General features: G+C 36.2%; 1 protein-coding gene across 2 annotated transcripts in view, besides 1 other annotated feature; it reads right to left on the bottom strand.

The window, feature by feature from the left end:
• The window catches only part of FIG4 (FIG4 phosphoinositide 5-phosphatase), a 134,131-nt gene that overhangs the window by 83,418 nt on the left and 27,879 nt on the right, over positions 1 to 22,834 (bottom strand). For both annotated transcript variants that reach the window (NM_014845.6, XM_011536281.4), the window contains exons 4-8: positions 14,744 to 14,900; positions 9,322 to 9,372; positions 6,711 to 6,859; positions 3,556 to 3,684; positions 465 to 565 (exon numbers count right to left, since the gene is read on the bottom strand). In NM_014845.6, coding sequence (NP_055660.1) covers positions 465 to 565; positions 3,556 to 3,684; positions 6,711 to 6,859; positions 9,322 to 9,372; positions 14,744 to 14,900 — 587 coding nt within the window. The remainder of the gene's footprint in view (positions 1 to 464; positions 566 to 3,555; positions 3,685 to 6,710; positions 6,860 to 9,321; positions 9,373 to 14,743; positions 14,901 to 22,834) is intronic.
• Positions 894 to 1,113: an enhancer, noted in NCBI's record as "active region_24932". NCBI's record gives its function as "activates an Ori minimal core promoter by ATAC-STARR-seq in GM12878 lymphoblastoid cells {active_cell/tissue: GM12878}" and the evidence as "EXISTENCE:reporter gene assay evidence [ECO:0000049][PMID:35858748]".

Below are 22,834 nucleotides of genomic sequence, written 5' to 3'. Positions count from 1 at the left end.
TATTGTCAGCCCCCCACATCCATGGGTTCCCTCCACAGAGTCAACCAATCTCAGACAGAAAATGTAGTTAGGCCTACGATGGTTGCATCTGAACTGAATACGTGCAGACCTTTTTTATTGTCATTATTCCCTTAACAATACAGTATTAGAACTATTTGCATAGCATTTACATCATATTAGATATTAGAAGTAATCTAGAGATGATTTAAAGTATACAGATGGATGTACATAGGTTATATGCAAGCACTAGGCCATATTATGTAAGAGACTTCAGCATCTGTGGATTTTGGATGGGAAGAGGGTTCCTAGAACCAATCCCTTGTTGATACTAAAAGGCAACTGTATTCTCTTGATAATATCCCAAACTAAGAAATACCACTTCTTAAAATTTCACTGTGCTTCTACATCAGCAAAGCTGATATAAAAGGTTAAAAGGTCAGTGAAGATACTGTTTGTCATCTTACCTCACAGTTTGCACCTCTTTTAAGAAAACGGGTGCCAGCAAATTTACTGGATCTTCTAGCTATTAGAGTGACATACACTGGTCGTCCATAGATCAACAGCTCTTGGAAATCAAGTTAAGGTTGTTTAGCATTCATGACTGTCACATAAGACCAAGAGAGTCATTATTCCTTAAATAAACATTTAGATACAGCTTGTCCAATGGCTTAAAGAACACCAAAAGCTCCACCCAAGAATGGAACAGCACTTGATCTAATGGTTCTTCAGAATTGCAGTGCAGCTACAAAGGGAAGGCAATATCCAACCTGACTAAGGAGTGCTTTCCATAAATTTCAGAGAAAATGGTAACCAGGTGTAGGGTTACTGGCCAAGGAAAGCCCTATGGCCAAGTAAGGATGTAAACAAGTACAACTAATCCTTCTGATATGGTTTCGCTCTGTGTCCCCAGCCAACTCTCATTTCGAATTGTAATCCCCACGTGTCAGGGTAGGGTCTGGTGGGAGGTGATTGCATCATGGAGGCGGACGTCCCCCTTGCTGTTTTTGTGACAGTGAGTTCTCACAAGATCTGGTTGTTTGCAAGTGTGTGGCACTTCCCCCTTTGCTCGCTCTCTCTTCTGCTCTGCCATTGTGAAGACATGCGTGCTTCCCCTTCACCTTCCACCATGATTGTAAGTTTCCTGAGGCCTCCCAGTCATGCTTCCTGTTAAGCCTACAGTCAATTAAACCTCTTTTCTTCATAAATTACCCAGTCTCAGGTAGTTCTTCATAGCTGTGTGAGAATGGACTAATACACCTTCCTTAGTCTTCCAAGATCATACACCTCTCAAAGAGAACATGTGTCATTTAATAGGCTGTTTCAATTATGAATAATATGTAATACTGAGGTGACAAACTGAGTATAAGACTCTAAAAGCAGTCAAAATTTGTCACCTACCTGCAAATTCTGAACACTGAATAATTTATTGTGAACTGCTTAACCAATATACAGCTTATTAGTTATGTCGCCTTACTTAACTTTCTGAGCCAAGTCTCATCTTCTATAAAATGGAGTAACAGTAAAGTAACCAAAGGTGGTCAGGAGGACTAGGTGAAGTAATGTGTGTACAACTAGTGCCTGGCCTGTAGTATTCATAAACTACTCTTATCAAAAGCTACTCTTTTTATAATCATATAGAGTTCCAGAATTCATTAAACGCTTGATAACCAGGAAACTAGATTCATTGTTTAAACTTACGAGCTTTAAAATGATCATCTATCATGGTGCTCACTATTTTAAAAAACAAACATTTACTATGTTTAATATGTGCCAGGACCCGAGTTAGCTCTTGGAAATACAAAACAGCTTAGAACTATCTTTTAGGAACTACCTTTAGAAATTGTAGCACATTCTTTTTGGTATCCTTGGTGGTGAAAAACCTGTGTTCTTCCCAGGTAGAATTTACTTTTGGAAAGAGAAAAAAGTAATTCAGGATCAAATCTCTTTATGCAGTAATGATCAACCAGATAATACCACTCACTGGTTGAAAGTGATTATAAAGTAATGAGCCTGATTTTCAAGTGTAGCACATAAATCTCACTGATCTTCATTTCAAAATCCCTCTGTGCTTTTATCTAGCCTTTCGTCCCCCTCACAGAAGGCAGCCCTGCTGCTCTTCAAGGCTAACCTCGCCAGCTGTGCCCTTGGCACCACTCCTCTCAAATGCTCCTGGTACAAGAAAGCATAATAATGGTCAGTCACATTCACCCACTTAATAGTCTCAAAGCAACCACTCCTTTAAATTTTTTTTTGTACATTATTATTATTTTAATATAGATCTGTAACTTCGGTTCCAAGTACCAAGGGGGGCCAGGGCTGGCCTGAGTGGGGCCTCACAGTGCGCTGGACAAAGTGACTGGTTTTTCTCCATAAATAAGACAAAGAAACCCTGGGGATCTGGAGAAAGATGTGAGGCCATTAAACTGCAAATCCCAACTGAAAATGAAGAAGCAAAAGTTTCTTTTTTGGTTCTTTTAAATGTCTAAAGAGAATAAAACTAAGAAAAATACAAATCCATTACAAATACTTCTTATCTGTGGGGGGAAAATGTACAAACGCCTTTTTCTTTAAAAGTCTAACATACTAGAAAACATGCTGAATGCAAAAATGCCCTACGTGATCTCAAAAGGTGATAGAAAAAATCGAAAAACCACTTCTAGATGGTACATGCTGCCTTCTTAAACCCCATAATTGCACTTTATTAAAAGGCTTCAATGTAGCTACAAATTAATGAGACATGAAGCTACTGAAGGAAATAAAAGTTTTTACAAAATTGAACTCATCAGCTTAACCCAAAGCTGAACCTACTTCTCTTTAATCTATTTTGCCCTCTTGCCTGGACTACTGCAATCTTTTCCTAACTCATGTTACTTGTTCTAGTTTCATTTTACTTAATCCAGCTTGAAAACGGTTGTCAACTCAAGCATCCTAAATACTACTTTGCAAATGTCATTCTTCTGCACAAAACCTTTCAAAAGTTCTAGCACCAAACCCAAAGTCCTCAGCTTGACCACCAAGGCAATCTGGTGACTGGCCATCTGACTCCCACATACCAATCTCCTTCCCACTATATCCTACCTCCTGGGAGTTTTATGCACAAGCCATGAGAACACTCCCATGTGTTTTTCCACCTCTACACACACAGTGTTTCCCAGGCTGTGATCTCTCTCTCTCTGCTCGGCCTGATCTCTCTCGCTGCTAAGGCACTGACTTTTGTTTAGGGCCCAGGCCAAGTTCAACTATTCCCATGGGCCTGTCCCATCCTCTCCAACTATCAGTAATTCTCCTCCTTCTCCCAGATAAGCATGACACTTATTACCTATATCACATTGCATTTTCTTCCTTGTTATTTATTCATCTTTATGTGTATATAACAGGCCTGTTCAAATAGTCTGCATTCTTCTTTGTATTTCTGCTACATAGTATCATGGGCAGGTTTTCCTGTTGGGGTGCACAGAGTGGTATTATAATCATATAATTCATATGTAGCTGTCTACAAATTGATACATCATAAGTTTAGTAATATGTATCTTACTTTTTCTTCAGAAAGGATACTTGACTGCCCACAGAACCCATGAATAATATACAAAAGCCAGTCACGATGCACAGTACTTTTAATTATATCCAGAAGTTCACCATTCCATACATATTTCATATAAGGCTCACTACAGATCCCAAATACCCCTGAAAAATAAAAGTCTGTATCAGTCCATAAATACACAAAATATTTTGTATCAATTAAAAAAAAGGTTGGTATCAGAAAGATATGGAAATTGGCTGACATTCAACTCATTTTTAAGTTAACTTCTGTTTTTAACTTCAAAGTAACATGCTTGGTTAATAGCATTGCCATTTTCAGTGGATATCATTCCTTTCATGTCCAGAACATTGTGTTGATTCTGTAAAAAGTCAAAGAAATCCCTTTTCTGACTTGTGAGAGTTCTTGAGAGAAAAGAAAATGACAAGGAAATTGAGGACATGTTACAAATATATAAATAAAGTCAAGAGGTGGCAGGAAGTAGCGGTTGAGCACAGGGCTATGAGGTCAAAGTTCCTGGATCCAACTCCTGGCTCTGCCTCTCATCAGCAGGGTCAGGCACAATCAAGAGTGTTACTTAGGGAGCACGGCACCTCTGCTCCCTCACCTGTACCACGTGGTTGTTTTAAGGACGAAATGAATTAATAAGGCACGTAAGGGGCCTAGAATAAGCCTAGTGTATTACAAATACTTCCAATAGGTGGCAGTTATTATGATGTCAGGCCTTTTCTCTATGAATAAATTAATTTCATCAAACATAATTTTAGCATATCCAGATAAATGTATTAAACAGCAATGAGTTTTACAAAACTTACATGAAGTGAAAAATTAAAAGTATGTTTATAAGATAATAGCTTAAAAGACTGTAATGGTTCTGAATAGCAGTTAATAAAGACCATTTTTTTCTCAAAACATGATCTGTTAAGAGTATTTGTTTATACACTATACCACACTTAGATTTGATTCATAAAAGCTAAACTTTCTCTGCCCTTTCAATGCATTACACGAGAGAATTAATAATAAAGACATCAATAGGAGTCCTGTTTTGTCACTTACTCTGTGACTTTAGGCAAGTTACTTAATGTCTTTGAATTTCAACTTTCTAAACTAGAAAATGATGTTAATACTACTCACCTCAAAGATATTGTTCAGATTAAATAGTATATGCAAAGTACCTGACATGCAGTAAAGATTATTTTAAAAATTTATTGTTTTCCTTTTCAACCTACTCTCATACCTTCTACCCTCACTCCATTTCTTATCAGTTTACCCCTGTGCGATAAGAGAATAATCTCACCTTCGACAAAGATGTATGCAGGCTAATCACCAGAAACTGTGAATATGAACTGTTACATTACATGGCAAGAAGAAATTAAAGCTGCAGATGAAGTTAAGGTTCCTAATCAGGACCTTGAGATGGGAAAATTATTCTGCATTATCTAAGTGGGTCCAATATAATCACAGGGTCCTTGTAAGTCAAAGAGGAAAACAGGAGTATGAGTGTCAGGTAATGTAATGTAGCCTTAAAGATGGAAGGGAGCCATAAGCCAGGGGATGAATGCAGCCCCCAGAAGATGGAAAGGGCAAGAAAACTGATTCTCCCCTGGAGCCTCTGGAAAGGAATGCAATCCTGCTGATATGCTAATTTTGGCTCACTGAGATCCACTGTGGACTTCTGTAAGATGATACATTTATGTTATTTTAGCAACTAAGCTAGGTAATCTGTCACAGCAACAAGAAGAAACTAATACACCCTGTTATTCATATCTATCAAGTAGAATTGCTCCAGAGATGGCAAAAAATTTAGTAGCATTGGAGGCTTAATTCACATCCCAGAACAGATATTCAAATTCAGATTTTGGATGGCATGTGGGGCAAATTTAGTGATACTTTCAGCTTTTGTATTACAAATTGTGACATTCAGAAGCGTTGCAAGCAAATATTCAAACACACCAGTTGTCTTGCCCTCTATCTGTCTCTAGTGGTATGGGTTACCACCAGAGTGTCTGAACCAGGGCAAATGTATGTGATCTAATGATCTGGGAGTAGGGAGGGTGCCCTGGGTTTGACCTTAGCTCAAGTGATAATCAAGTAAACTAACAAGAGTCAAGGGGAATGCCAGGGATAAATTCAGTTTAAGTAACAGCCTAAACCTTTTTAGAGTTGATCACAACCTTTGGCAAACCATTAACAGAACACAGCCTCTTTTTGAGAGTGCTGCAAGGGCAGATCTTCTGGGACTACTTTAGATTGGATTCTACCTCTGCACCTCTGCACCCACATGTTCATCACTATCATTTAAGTTGCACAGAGCAAGGAGCCCAAAGACACTATTGACTTACTTTCCACAGTCAGCTGAACACAACTAAAGTGTCTTAACTATTGAAATGCTTCCCTTACAACATTCATACTAGCAATGCCTCTAGCTTTACAGTGCTAGACCAACCCAAAAATTTGGCGATAAAGGTATTGCGTGACTGGTTTAGTCCAGGATTTCAGGGGCACCCTAGATGAGGCACTGAGTGGTCCCACAGCAGTCCTGCAGAGGCAAGACCTATGCAGGACTGATGGGTCAAGCTGGGACCGATCAAAGTAATAACGACCTCTGACTTGCTGCATTGATTCCCTGACATGGCTGTATGATCTTCATTTCCAGGCCTCCATTTCCTACTTAGTCTTTAATTCTATAAAACTAGCATTATACCTACTAAGCAGAGTTTTTATGAGGATTAGAGATATTACATGTAAATGTCTAGCACATAATAGGCAACCCATGGTAACTCTTTTTCAAAACTCAGACCATAACAAACTGGTCTCTGTGAAGGAAAATAAGTAGTGTGTATTACCTAATATTAAAAAAAATTATCCATGTAAACTTCACCTCTGCACACCATGTAAAAGTCTAGGCTTGAATGTATTCAATAAAAAGTACGTGAATAATTGCTAGAAAATGTCAGCATACAATTTTGTGGTTGGCCTACAAATGAAATCACATGGTGATTAATATCTCTATAAAAATGAATTGATCAACTTCACATATCCAAAACAACCCCACGTAAGGACAAACAGCAAAGAGGGATGGACAAATATGAGGGAAATGTGAGTGAATTTAATAAGATATCACTTCATGGATACCACATTAATATACATTAGATATATCAAGACCACCTACCGCTTCCACCTTGTGTAATTAATCCTTCATCTTCAAAGATGTCAAAGCTCTCTTGGCGATTCTGGGTCATTTCTGACTTTAACATCTCCAGGGGCATTCGCAAGACAGTGAGATTATATTGAAGTGAGTGGGACAAATCATAGCTGTAACTGAGAACAGAATTGAAACTTAATAAGAATTACAAAAGCAAAGCATATTTCATGGTCTTGGCGCCCATATAGAATTAAAATCTGTGAACTAAATTACTTAGCACCTATTACTTTATTTGGAAGCAATGCTATTCAAATAAGCACTGTAAAACACAGCAAAATATAAATGTAATTGGAAATAAAAACCTCACTGCATGACTAGGCATCTGCATGACTGGAAATATACAATACAATGTCAGTAACCTACGTTATTTGATTTGTACAATGTGCATTTTTTGCTTCATACTGAAATCAATCTAAGTTGATGGTCTTGTGCAAACAGGGTCACACCTTCTATGAATCTGTATGGGGTTTTATAGATCTATAACATCCACTGCAATACTGCATAGTTCTGTACCCTAGTTTACCCAGGAGCAAAAATAATTCTATTAATTATTAATGGTGGTATCATAACTGACTTCATAAAACAGAAATAAGCAAATAATATAGGCCATTACAGTGAAACATGTTTTAGAAGAGTAAAAGGCATTTCAAAAATATAACCGTCTCTGTGCAAATTAAATTTCATTACAATTTTGATCTCACATAATACCTTTTAAATAAGCATCTCTAGCTCTCTTTATATATATAGCTAGAGATATTTTAAAAGTATCTATATATAAATATATTTATACTCTATATTTATATACAGTATTTATATATGCATACTCTATATAAATATGCATATATAAATATGCATACATACATAGTTGTGTATATATACTATACTATATATATGTATAGTGTGTGTGTGTATATATATTTCTTAAGTGTTGAGGGGGCTTTCCAGTTTTTACTAGAAACTCTAAAGGAGCCTAGCTATATATTTTTAGCACAGAATTTCAGAAGGTATTTTGAATATTTTATACAAATTTGTTTTTAAAGTATTTTAGTCATATTTTAAAATGGTACAATTGTGTCTGGAGAGTCACACACATTATTTTAATTATTATTTATTCATATAATTTGATTGAAATTGATTTGTTTCATCTGTGAAGTTCAATTGTATCATTTTTGCTTGATGGATCCATTCATTTTAACAGCATCTAATCTCAAAGGGATAAAAGCTATATTAAGAAGTTGGTTTCTGATTTTTAACAATCAATTATTTCTATTTAAAACAATTCCTTTTTTCTAGAGAGTCTTAAGAATATATTATAACCTTTTTAAAAGCCTACTTATGAGGCACAAAAACTTTAACCTACATGTATTTACTTATAGAATGACTTGATCACAACTCAGTATAAAAATACAGACAAAACTGAGAAATATGAAGAAGAAGGCCATTTCTAACAATAGCACTGAGCTTCAATAATAATTCACAAACACTAAAAAGTTAGGCATAAAGACTGAAAACTAGAAGATGGCGAAAAATACAATGAAAATATACATTCAATAAACGTGTGTGGAAGTAAAAACTATTTCTTTAGGAGCCCTTCACTCCATTTCTGTTAAAATAATCAACTTCCTTCAGGTTTGCATCAATAAAGACATAATTCACCCCATGTAGTAGACATGTTTTTCTTTGTTTCATAAAGAAATGGTTAACTATATTAATAATTTAAAATAATTTTTAATGCAAAGCACCCTGTCAGTAGTATGTAACACCAACAGCTACAAATGCTCTAGGTCCTCCTTTAGTCTTTATGACTCAAGTCCTTACTGTGTTCTATTTTTATTTTGGATATTATAGCTGATAGAATTTTCCATCTATCACAATAATTGCATCTATCAGGCCCACATACTGGTCACGTCAATGGTAGTAAAATACTTATCATGATGCTGTAATAATCTACTTGCCTGTTCTTCAATTATCAATATTTGGGACGTCCCTGGATTATCTGGTTTGCTTGTTTGGGCTATTATAAATAGAGAAGCAATAAATGTCTCTTTACCAATGGAGAGTTGTATTTTTGCTCCTGGTTATTTTCTTAGGACATATTTTCATGTATGTTCAATGCCATATTCCTTCTCAGGAAACTGTTAATTTACAATGCCACCAGCAGTACATCAGTATTGCAACAGTTCTTCCTATTTTTAATTTGTTTTTACCCAATTTTGCCAGATTATTTACTAAAAGTTGAACAATGAAATTGTTACAACTCTTATTACAGGCTGAATGTAAATTTCATTTTTGTAATTTAAGATTACAAAATGAGAATATTTCTTTAAAATACATTAAGTCCTACCTAAAACAACGATGATTTTTATAATGTGAATAAATATCCTTTAATTTATCCATTTGGATTTTCAAATATAAGATTTTTAAAAGGAAGAAATAGCTATATTTTAATGATTTTAGATAAAACAAGTTGACTAAAATGAAAGAGAAGTACTACTATGTTCTCATTCTGCTTTTACCCGCTGGAAAATAATATAAAAGTTTATGTGATTGATAGGAGCAAAACTAACCTCACACTTACCTAAAGTAAAAATTGCTAGATAGGTCCACATTTTGAAATATTCGTAGATACCTAAAAAAAAAAAAACAAAGTACATTTCATTTGTCCAATACTATTATTTCTCACAGTTTAACATGTACCCATATGTACATTTATATTTGTAAATATGCTCATTAAAGCTGAGGAATTCAAACCATATCTAGAATAGGGATTACATCCAAAGCAATTCTAGGTCTATTGATCATCCCTTTGGAGACCTTTAACTTTATAGTTTGGCTGTTCCTTACCACTGATTATGCCAGTGAGAGGCAAAGTCGTGCATCTACATGTAGGGGGCACAGCAGACTTTGGGCAAGACAGAAGTAAATGCTGTTTTTGCTTTTACAACATGCTTTGCAAATGCTTTGAGGATGGAGAGAGGAGAGCAACAACAACAAGCGCAATGTGGGTCACCACAATTTTAAGTTGGTAAGTTTTTACACCAAAAAAGGTATAGAATAAAATGTTCACATTTCTGTCACTCATGATTAATAAGTGTTCACATTTTAAAATATCTATTTCAACCTTTTTAAGATAAATAACGAACAATTTAAAAAGTTAACATTCCCTTTAGACTTCCCCAGTCCGGCTCTCTCACTCCAAATGCAACCATTTTCCTGTCACTGATGTGAATCCTTCCAGTCCATGCATCTCTTTACTTTTATCACATTAGAGCCATCTTTAAATAATACATAGCATTATATTGTATATTTAAAATATGTATGCAAATCATTACAAACTTTGTATACTGTCCTACTTTTTTCACTCATTTTTTGAAACCTAGTTACGTTGAAAGTTATAGATTTAATTTGTTCACTTTGTAATCAATGTTTGGTCTTCACTATATACAGTCATCCCTCGGTATCTGTGGGGGATTGGTTTCAGGTCCTCCCTCAGATAACAAAATCTGCAGATGCTCAAGTTCCTGATATAAAATGGCATAGTATTTGCACATAATGCACAATACACATCTTCCTGTACACTCTCAATTACCTCCAGATTACTTATAATACCTAATACAATGTAAATGCTACGTAATTCTATAGTTGTTATACTCTATTCTTTAGGGAATAATGACAAGAAAAACATCTGTACATGTTCAGTACAGACACAGTTTTTTTCAAGTATTTTCAATCTGTGGTTGGTTGAATTCACAGAGGTGGAACCCATGGATAAGGAAAGCCAACTACACATGACACACTTTATTTATCCATTGTCTGCTGATAGACCATTAGGTTCTTCCTAGTTCTCCACTATAAGATACAATGCTGCCAAGAGCATCCCATGCATGTTTTCCCATACACATGTGCAAGAGTTTCTCTAGGGCAGATACACGGAAACAAGAACCACTGTGCACTATAGATAACGTGCATTTTCAATTATGCTGGAATTGCCAAAGTGTTCTTCTAAGTGGTTAAAATATCACTCCAACTCATAGTGTATAACTCATAGTATACAACTCATTTCCCACATCTCTGCTATAATTTGATGACAGCAGATATTCTGATTATTCCCAAACTGACTAATGAGAATAAAATGGTACCTTTTTAATTTGCATTTCCCAAATTACTAGGTAAGGTTCAGAATCTCTACTGTGAGCTGCCTGTTCCTTTTAATCATTTCTCAGTTATGTTGTATTTTTTTCTCACTGATTTGTAGAAATTCTTCCCACATTCTAAATAATAATCATTGTTATATGTTACAAATATCTACTTTCAGACTGCTGCTTGTTTCCTAAAATTTGTCTAGATTATAAATACATTTTGAATATTTACAGTATCAAATATAGCATTGTTTGCCTTATGGTTTATGCATTTTGTATTTTGTTTGTAAAATCCTTTTCCATACCAGGATTATAAAAATATTTACCTTTATTTTCTTAAAATTATCTTTGTACTTCTGGAATTGCTTCCTGAATATTATCAGAGAATGGAATCAAATTTCATTTTTGTCCAACTGGAAAACCAACACTATTTATCCCATCTTTTCCCCCAATGACTTGTAATGCTCACTCTATCATATTCCAGTTTGCCACATAAAATGGATCTTTTTCTAGGCTTTCTCAACACTGTTCATTGACCCCCATCAATTCCTCCACCAATACTTAGCAGTCTTATTTACTATAGCTTACTACCTGATTATCTTAATTATTATAGGTCTTACCATCTTGTTGACTTTATCCCTTCTTGTTTTTCTTGTTTCAATTGTCTGGACCATGCTTAGACATTTGCTTTTCCATATGACTTTTAAAATCATGTCAAGTTCCATTCTCAAAACATCCTCTTGGAATCTGGATCAATGTTACATTAAATTTATAAACTGGCCAGGCCCTGTGGCTCATGTCTGTAATCCCAGGACTTTGGGAGGCCGAGGTGGGAGAACTGTTTGAGCCCAGGAGTTCAAAACCTGCCTGGTCAACACAGAAAGACCCTATTTCTGCCGAAAATACAAAAATTAGTCAGGCGTGGTGGCATGTGTCTGTAGTCCCAGCTACTGGGGAGGCTGAGGTGGGAGGACCACTTGAGCCCAGGAGTTCAAAGCTGCAGTGAGCCAAGATTGCACCACTGCACTCCAGCCTGGGTAACAGAGTGAGACCTTGTCTCAAGAAAAAAAAAAATTATAAATTAATTTTGGAGAAAACTAACATCTTCAAGATATCAAGACTCATCCATGAAAAAGGGACATCTCTCCAATTATGTAGAGATTTAAAAAATCTTTTAATAATGTTTGAAGTTTTTTCCATAAGGTTTTGGATAGCTTTTGTTATATTTATTGGCAGGTACCTTATACATTTTCTAGTTCGTTACTGCTAGTGTGTGGAAATATTACTGGTTCCTGTATGTCTTACATGTTGATCTTTTCTTTTTTCTTCTTTTAATCTTTTTTTTTTTTTTTTGAGGCAGGGTCTCACTCTGTCACCTAGGCTGGAGTACAGTGGCACAAACATGGCTCATTGCAGCCTCAACCTCCTGGGCTCAATCCTCCCACCTCAGCCTCCCAAAATGCTGGGATTACAGGCATGAGCCACCATGCCCAGCCATCTTTTCTTAGTCACCTTACTGAACTCTTTCATCAGTTCCGAGAATTTGTAGATATTCTCAAATTTTCCAAGTAGGAAATGATGCTGTTTGCATAATGACAGTAATTTTTCTTTTCAAGCTTTATGCCTTATTTTTCTAGTCTTGTGGCACTGCCTAGGGACTTTCAGTATGAGGCTGAATGTTAGTAGTGACGGCAGATACCTCTGTATTGTTCCTTACCTTGATTAAAAGTAATGCTTTTAAAGTTTCACTTCTAAGAACAATTTTGGATATAGGTTTTTAATAGGTATCATTTATCAGATTAAGAAAGTCTGCTTATATTCCTAGTTTGCTAAAACCTTTTATCACAAATGGGTATTGAATTTTGTCAAATATGTTTTCTGCAAACATTAAGAAGATAATTTTTCCAGCAATATTTTAATGTGGTGAACTGTTCTAGTAAATTTTCTAACATTGGTAACAATCATGCATTACAGAGATAAACATTATGTATGAAATGTTTAATAGTACTGTATTTTATTTCCAAATATTTTACCAAATAGTTTTGCTTAGATACACTATTGGATTATATAGTTTTATAAGTATTAAAAGTTTTTCCTAATTAGTAATATTACTTCAGTTTACCTATAAAAAACTATTAATATAATTGTATCTTATTCTGAATAAGTCCATTTACATGTTATTACTCATAATTTTATTCTTTAAAGATATCCAAATCACTGTACACAACAACATAATTTGTATTAGTATTCTTGGCTAAAGTATCATAAAGATGAGACTTATAAACAACATTAACTTCTTGAAATTTTCCTATCCCTGGATTCGCATGGTCTGGTCAATCTGATTCACTTTTAGTCAATACACTATATAGGCCTTCCTATCAGCTGTATCAGATATAACCTTTTTCAGTTAGTGCAAGACAAAGGTCTACTCTGATAAACTGTACTTATCCTCAAATGAAACAAATTATTTTCTAATAACCCCCTTCCAAATCATCATCAAAAGCAACATCACAAGGGCTCAGAAAACCACTGTCTAAGATGGTCTCAAGCAACAGGGCTGCATCACCTTTAAATTTTGGTTCATGTATTGGAACACTACAAAAGTACAGGATATAATTAAAATCTAAACTGTTACCTATCCTAAAAACTTATAAATATTTCTTTGTTCCATTTTAATCTTCATAATATTAAATCAATTCAACCTTTACAATTTTATCAATTTGTTAATAGCTTTTCCCACGTTTCCAAGGTTCCAATAATTCCTCCAAAACTTTTGAACATTTCAGATATACAGGAAAAATTGCAGGGAAAAAAAAGTACAATTAACACCACTATGCCCTTCTTCTGAATTCACTTTTAGCGCTCTCTCCTTAAACACATAAACAAATATTATCTCTCTTTAAATATACAAATACATTTTATTTTTCTAAACCACTTGACTGTAAGTAGCAGACATCATGACACTTCACTCCTAAGTATTTTAGCATGTATCTGTTATAAACAAGGACAATCTCCTCAGTGACCGCAAACCATTATTATACTCCAAATTTAAATACTGATTCAAGATCACTAGTATGTAGTCCACATACAAACTGTCCAAATAAAGCCCTTTAGATCTTTGTGTGAGGATGTGTGTACAAGTACATGCACTTTTAACCCAGAATCCGACCAAAATCTGCATTTAGTTGTCACGTCTGTTTAAAAATCTGGAACAGTCTTTTGTTTTTTGTCTTTGATGACTTTTACATTCTTTTAAGAATCTAGGCCAGTTATCTTGCAGGAAGTCCAGTGGTATGTATTTATCTGATTATTTCCCCATGCTTAGATTCAAGTTAAATATTTTTAGCAATATTTAACTACTAAGGTAAACTGTGTCCTTCCCACTGAGAGTCAAACAATGTCAGTTTCGTCTCATTATTGGTGATGTGAAGTTTGATTATTTGGATAAGAATGTCTGCTGTTTTTTTCATCATAAAAATACTTATTCCTCTGTAAATAACAAAGAGATCCATGGAGTTTAAAATGTTGGGACTATGTGATTATTCTATTCCTCAATAACAACCTCTCACCTAATAGTAGCCATTGTTGATTCTTGCCAATTGCTATAATGGAGTCTTTAACAGCTCTTAACAAAAATTCTAAAATTCTGAGCCAACATTTGATCTTTTTACATAACATTCATAATATCTAAACTGTATTTTATTTTCTACCTGATCTACGACATTAAAAAAAAGTACTTGAGCCTGGGAGGCCAAGGCTACAGCAAGCTATGACCATGCCATTATATTCCAGCCTTCCAGCCTGGGCAACAGGGCAAGACCTTGTCTCCAAAAAAAAAAAGGTAGTTACCACCATACATACCTAGCTTCATCAGGATGAGTAACCCGTACAGAATCATTGGGTATATAGATCATATTTGTATCTTCGACCTTATAGATTGCATGACCTCCAATATCCGCCATCTTCCTCCTTTTAGTTATTAACACAATATAATAGCCTTCTAAGAACCTGACAAAACCTATGCAACAAAAAATAAAGAGAAATATGCTTTATAAACTTAGTAATGGCTTTTAGATGCCTATTTAAAAGGCCAAAGACCTTTGATACATTTCTCACTTTATTATTTCTATGATTTATAGCCATACAAATTTTCAGGTGTCTTAGGATTATTCTCTAAGACTATCTATACTGACATTTACCTCACTTAAAAATATTACTCTAAACAGAGCCAAATCATGAGTGATCTCCCATTCACAATTGCTACAAAGAGAATAAAATACCTAGGAATACAACTTACAAGGCACGTGAAAGACCTCTTAAAGGAGAACTACAAACCACTGCTCAAGGAAGTAAGAGAGGACACAAACAAATGAAAAAACATTCTATGCTCATGGATAAGAAGAATCAATATTGTGAAAATGCCCATACTGCCCAAAGTATTTATAGATTCAATGCTATTCTCATCAAGCTACCATTGACTTTCTTTGCAGAATTAGAAAAAACTACTTTAAATTTCATATGGAACCAAAAAAGAGCCCTCATAGCCAAGACACCAAGACAATCCTAAGCAAAAAGAACAAAGCTGGAGGCATCACACTACCTGACTTCAAACCATACTACAAGGCTACAGTAACCAAAACAGCATGGTACTGGTACCAAAACAGATATATAGACCAATGGAACAGAACAGAGGCCTCAGAAATAACACCACACATCTACAACCATCTGATCTTTGACAAACCTGACAAAAACAAGCAATGGGGAAAGGATTCCCTATTTAATAAATGGTGCTGGGAAAACCAGCTAGCTATATGCAGAAAACTGAAACTGGACCCCTTCCTTACACCTTATACAAAAATTAACTCAAGATGGATTAAAGACTTAAATATAAAACCTAAAACCATAAAATCCCTAGAAGAAAACGTAGGCAATACTATTCAAGACACAGGCATGGACAAAGGCTTCATGTCTAAAACACCAAAAGCAATGGCAATAAAAGCCAAAATTGACAAATGGGATTTAATTAAACTAAAGAGCTTCTGCACAGTAAAAGAAACTATCATCACAGTGAACAGGTAACCTACAGAACGGGAGAAGATTGTTGCAATCTATCCATCTCACAAAGGGCTAATATCCAGAATCTACAAGGAACTTAAACAAATTTACAAGAAAAAAACAAACAACCCCATCAAAAAGTGGGCAAAGGATATGAACAGACACTTCTCAAAAGAAGACATTTATGCAACCAACAAATATATGAAAAAAAGCTCATCATCACTTATCATTAAAGAAATGCAAATCAAAACCGCAATGAGATACCATCTCACACCAGTTAGAATGGAAATCATTTAAAAGTCAGGAAACAACAGATGCTGGAGAGGATGTGGAGAAACAGGAAAACTTTTACACTGTTGGTGGAAATTAGTTCAACCATTGTGGAAGACAGTGTGGTGATTCCTCAAGAATCTAGAACCAGAAATACCATTTGACCCAGCAATCCCATTACTGGGTATATACCCAAAGGATTAGAAATCATGCTACTATAAAGACACATGCACACATATGTTTACTGCAGCATCATTTTACAATAGCAAAAACTTGGAACCAACCCAAATGCTCATCAATGATAGACTGGATAAAGGAAACGTGGCACATATACACCATGGAATACTATGCAGCCATAAAAAAGGATGAGTTCATGTCCTTTGCAGGGACATGGATGAAGCAGGAAACCATCATTCTCAGCAAACTGACACAGGAACAGAAAACCAAATACCGCATGTTCTCACTCATAAGTGGGAGCTGAACAATGAGAACACATAGACATAGGGAGGGGAACATCACACACCAGGGCCTGTCGAGGGGTGGGGGCAAGGAGAGGAAGAGCATTAGGACAAATACCTAACGCATGTGGGGCTCAAAACCTAGATGGTGGGTTGATAGGTACAGCAAACCACCACAGCATGTGTGTATACCTATGTAACAAACCTGCACATTCTGCACATGTATCCCAGAACTTAAATTTTAAAAAAAAATTACTCTAAACAATTTAATTCATTCATTCCTCTTAGTCTCACTGCAAATAGGACTGAGGTGCCTTAAGCACAAATAGATATAAGATTAAGAGGAGTTGTTGTTCCATGGGTATAGAGCTTTAGTTTTGCATAGATGAAAAAATTCTCAAGATCTGTTGCACAAGATGCATACAGTTAACACTGCTGTACTGTGCACTTAAAAATGATTGTGACGGTAAATTCTGTTTTTTACCAAAATTAAATATATATATATATATGTACACACACACACACACACACACACACACAAAGGATTATAAAAATGAAGAGGAAATTACAGTAAAGGAAATAATGTTTAAAAACATAGTAAGATGAGTCCAAAAATAAAAGTTGTACATAAGAATGCATCTTAAGATCCTATGTACTATTCCCCACATTTGGCTCTCCATTTTCTAACAGATAATGCAAAGAGGAACACACATCCAATTATACCATGCACAGTGGCTGAAAGATAAAAACTAAACCACTACTTGGAGAAGCTACAGCAGTTACAAGAACTGGGAGACAATTTCAGAGTGAGTCCACATAAAAAGATATGTGCTGTAGAGAACAACCTCAGGAGAATTCTCCAGCGATGTCAAGCACACATTTCTCAATGCTGTTTCATATGCCAAGGCACAATTCAATAAATGTCATTCTTTACAAACTAGAAGAATGCAGGCAAGGTACACAGCTGAACGGAGGTCTAATTTCATCTGAAGATAAAAATCTAAGTATCTCTGGTAACATTTCCCCAAATGTGTTCTCCATGAAATATTAGTTAATGGAATCCCAGGGGGGAGAGGAGTGGCAGTGAGCAAATAATACTGGACTAAGAAACTTAAAACAAAAATCCTGAGAACCTTATAGGACTGTGCTAAAGTACACCGTGAATCTTGATGGGAGATAAAAACCAAGTGCCTTTCCAGATTCGTTTGTTCGTGGAACCTCCTCCCACCCCCCGCCTTAAAACAACAACAACAAAAACCAATGGATATACGTTCTGAGGAACATATTTTGGGAAATATTGCCCAAAAGAACAAACTTCATGGACTCTTGATAATTAATGTCAAAAACCAATTTGAGTCAGCTTAAACTAAAAAAAGGAATTTATATTAAGGATCCTGAAGTGATCCATTCCACACATGGGAAACAGTGTGACTGGGCCTCAGAAAAAGCCTAGTCAAGATGTCTCTGAACATCTACTCCATTCTTCTCTCTCTCCATAGACCAAGCTCCTCCACTTCTCTGGATCATGTGGTAGGAAACACAACTGCTGACAGCTCTGGGCTTTCCATCCAAAACCTTTACTGGGAAGAAAAGGACATTTTTATCAAGTTCAATTTCAGAATTCCTGGGGAAGAACTTGGACTGACCCAACTTGGGTCAGGGGCCCAGCCCAGGACCAATCAACTATGGCCAAAAAATAGAATCATGCAGCATTGGAAGCCATTTTATATGATAACTAGGTGGCCTAGATGAGGCCAGGGGACATGGTGCCAGTTCCCTGGAAAGTGAATAGGTTGGGCAAACAAAACAATGTATCAAGTAAATTACATATCCTTCATGCAATCTTCCACAAATATCATTTCTGATAGTTCAGTTTTTAAATGAATATTGGAGAGTTATAAATAGAGTTATATTTTATGTCAGATCATTAGAATATAGAGGTTCTATATTGGTGACTAAAGAAAGAGCCATATACATTAATGTTCAGCAGCATTATATTCTCAGCAACACACTAGTTGCCATATAATCTTGGTCAAAAACTTTCAGGTTCCCTGAACTTTGCTTTGGGAGTTAAAACTAACTTTCTTGGTGGTGGGGAAGAGGTGACACTTCTGAAATAGCAATGCAAGGAGCTCAGCAGACTCTTTCCTAGGAAAACAACCATAACTACTAAAAATAATAAAAACAAAGGAAAACATTAAAAGTTTCTGGAAACTGCCCTAAGGGCATACAGAAAGTGGAGAAACATTTATCCAAGAAAATCTAATAAATCTTGTTAAGAACAGCAAGTCTGTGGCATTTGGATCATGGCCTGCTCCCCTTCCACACTGCCTCCCAGTTCAGCGTTGACAGGATATCTACTCTGGGCAGGTGCCGCCAAGAAGGCAGGGCTCCTTCCTCTCTCTCCAGCTCCCAGTCTAGGACCACAATTGCTGCTCATGAGGGGTAGGCCACCAGCTTTTCTCATCCCCACCAACTCTGTGTTGTAAAAGCTCTATTCCAGGCAAGCATGGCTAAGGTCTGGGCTCCTTCCTTCAACCAAGCACCGACTCACAGGGTAGAGGCTCTACTCCAGGCATGTCAGGCCAAGAACACAAGGTCCCATCCCTGCCCAGCTCACTCACTCACAGGGCAAGCTAGATACAGTCATATACAGCTGTCTTCTCATCAGAAGCAATGAAAGCCAGAATGAAGAGGGATGCCATAAAGTACTAAAATATATATATATATATAAGAATCTTATATCTAGCTATCTTTCAAAATGAACTTTCTTACACATACATTCCCTTTGTTTCTCTCTCTGTATGTGTGTGTGTGTCTCTCTCTCAGAGTGTTATAGTCTATAAAGTCTAAGCTAGGATCCTGGTGCTCTGTCTGAATTTTTGCTCTAGAATTGGCAAATACCTATGATCTATGTCTTGTTATTCTCAGCTGATGAAAAAAGAATGACTAATTGAATACATTAACATGAATGAGCTGAAATCTATAATGGAAAGATGCCTCAAGAATCTTATCGGCCATGCCACTGCGAAAAAAATGCTATTAAAATAATGAAAAATATTGGTATTTTAGAAATCCACAAAACACAAAGTGTTTTTTAAAAAAGGTTAGAGACTCGCCAAAAATGACCTCACTAAAGTTGGAGGACACAGGAATGGGAAGGAAGGAAAAAAAAAAAGCTGATGACAACTTTACTAAAAGCAACTTAGGAAGTAGTCATCCTTTCAGAAATATAAAACTTACAAAAGTAAGCATTTCAGAAGCAGCACACACACCAAAAAACTTAAAAATGGAATGTAATTGGGATTAAATAATAAATATTTACAAGATAAATTAGTTTTCCTTTTATTCTTGCTGTATATTTATTTTTTAGATAAAAATTCTTAGTAATAATTTCTCTCAACCTGCATTCTAATTGAATTTTAATTTTATGTTTTTAGCACCAGGCTATTTATATCATTCTACACTTCCCTTCATAATTTGTATAAGGGAAAGTAAACATACTGCACAAAAGAGACACTCTTCTTCCAGCACAAATGGCTTCAGTATATTATAAATGAGATTATTTTCCACTTCCTTGTTACTACCAATTGGAAATGTCTCTCAACAATTAAAGGCTTCAGCTTGGCATAGACATCCACCAAGAATCAGCCTGTTCATCCTTCTAACATGATGAACACCAGAACAAGTTTCTTCATCTTCATTCTATGTACTTCTGACCCCAGACCAATTTCACTGAGTACTTTCCAGAAGACAAGATGATGGTCGTCATGCAAAAGTGATTTCTCTCTCCAAAATAAAAAAGGCTGTGTCACTTGAGAGGGAAGCCAAGCAAAGTATATTAAAAAGGACAATATGAGAGAATGGAGTAGTATGCAATTCTGGTGGCTGGAGAGGACCCTCATCAGCCCACTAACAGGGAATAGTGTAATATCCTGTATGGGGGGTCACCATGCCAGCCAGCTATTATCTTGAAAGCCTCCACTGAGAACAGCACTCCAGCAGAGAAGGACAAAACCCCCCGCAAGGTACCCAGTGCCTTTGTACAACAGAGCTCTCTGGAACCAAAGTGACATCTCTACTACCAAATCATACTGCCCCCTAACTAGTCTGAGACTCACACTTTTTTGGTGTTTTCACTGTTATCTTGGATCTGCAGTCTATTTGTAAGGGTATTGTTTTAAACAATAGCTTAGTCCATCACAGTGTACCGTATTGATACTTCTTATTTTGCCACTCCCCTTCAACATACTAGAGGCTTAGAAGAGTGTCGTCTGACAGACGACAGTGGCAGAAAAAGGACACGTACCTAAGGGCTGTGTATCAAAAGGAGCTGGGATGATAACAGAACTGAGTAGTATGAACTATAGGTCATTCCATTCATGTGCCCTAGGACCACATAAAACAACTTAGTGATGGATGCTCACGATCCCATCCAGTGGTTTCCCAAACTTCCTGCTGGCTGTCAAATAACAAAGGAACAGATCAGGAATTGGCCAGGCAGCTACAGGACTGGATCAATCCGTTTATAGCAAGGAAAACCCTCTAGGTCAGTAATATTCAAAACATGGCCTAGGGACCAGTGCTGGTCCATGAGCTTTCAGAACCGGCCCGTGAAAAGACAAGTAAACAAATTGAGACGAAGGATTTAGAAACTTTAGAACAATTTAGATTGCCCCACAACATCTGTGTGCATGATCAGTGAATCTGCCCTCACACAGGGCATAGACTAGTTTGGATAGTATTAAACTCGTGTTTTAAGTCACATGTGGTGTTGGTCTGCAACATGTGATATATGTGAGGGAGGGGGAGAAAAATGGTCCTTTATTACAGATCCTAGAGAAGTATTGTTCTAGATTCTCATGACATGTGTACTAAATAAACCATGACAACAATCCAAAACATTCCACCAAAAATATTTTCCACCAATTCAGCATGTTCAAAAAGTTAGTGAAGAAAATATTTTAGCCACAGAATAGAACACAACCATTCTAGTCATTTCACACGTGTTATTTTAACAACTAGACTACACATTTTTCAAAGATAAGTATTTTGTGTTAATAATTTCAGTATCCACTACATTTCTAAGCTTGTACTAGAAAAATCATAGACTTTTATTACTCCCTGTTTACTTTTCATGGATTCTTAACTTTATTTACATGACTGAAGTAGGACACATAAGGCACATTTCCATAAAAATACTAAATGTTTACCAGTACGTTATTGTCTTACTTTACTTGCAGGTTAATCTTACAATGACTTCACCATACATGCACAGTCTCAAAGCTAAAAGGGCTCTAACTTCAACAGAAATAGCTAAGAATGTCACCTTTAAAAGAAACATGGAGACACCTTCAGCCCTCACCCAGAGTTTATTAACCAAAACTTGTGTGTAAATTAAACGTCTGGTTACAAACTTGGTTATCAATTGATTCAAAGAAAAGTTCTAGTTTTACAAGCTTGGTTATCAATAGATTAAAAATGAGGCTAGGAATATGCTAAAAGCAAACATGTCAAGAACAATAAAAGGTGACCAAAGTATTAAAAAAAAACAAAAGAGTCCAGCAGTCTAGAGGCCATTTAATGTAAAGTCAAACAGCCCAATACAACTCTGGAATACCCAAGGACAGCTATTTTTAAACACAGTTCAGGCTGAGCACGGTGGCTTATGCCTGTAATCCTAACACTTTGGGAGGCCAAGGCAGGAGGATTGCTTGTGCTCAGCAGTTTGAGGCCAGCCTGGAAAACAAAGTGAGACCATCACCTCTAAAAAAAAAAAGAAAAGAAAAAACATTAGCCGGGCGTGGCGGCATATGCCTGTAGTCCCAGCTACTCAGGAGCCTGAGGCAGGTAGATCATTTGAGCCCAGGAGGTTGAGGTTGCAGCGAGCTATGACTGGCCACTGTATTCCAGCCTAGATGACAGAGCAAGGTCCTGTCTCAAAGAAAAAAAAAACACACACACACAGACACAAACACACAAAACAAAACCCACACAGTTCAATAAGTGATTTTCACTTCGTTACATTTAATCATCAAGAAAACTTCAATTATGAATAATAAAATCTGGCCAATAAGGCATTCAATAGTATATACACATTATGAAATGCCTATCAAAAAAGTTGTGGCCAGGCATAGTGACTCACATCTGCAATCCCAGCACTTTGGGA

This window comes from Homo sapiens, chromosome 6 (assembly GCF_000001405.40).
Source record: "Homo sapiens chromosome 6, GRCh38.p14 Primary Assembly".
In the NCBI taxonomy this organism is placed as follows: domain Eukaryota; kingdom Metazoa; phylum Chordata; class Mammalia; order Primates; family Hominidae; genus Homo; species Homo sapiens.
This window is presented reverse-complemented; position numbering and strand designations above follow the sequence as displayed.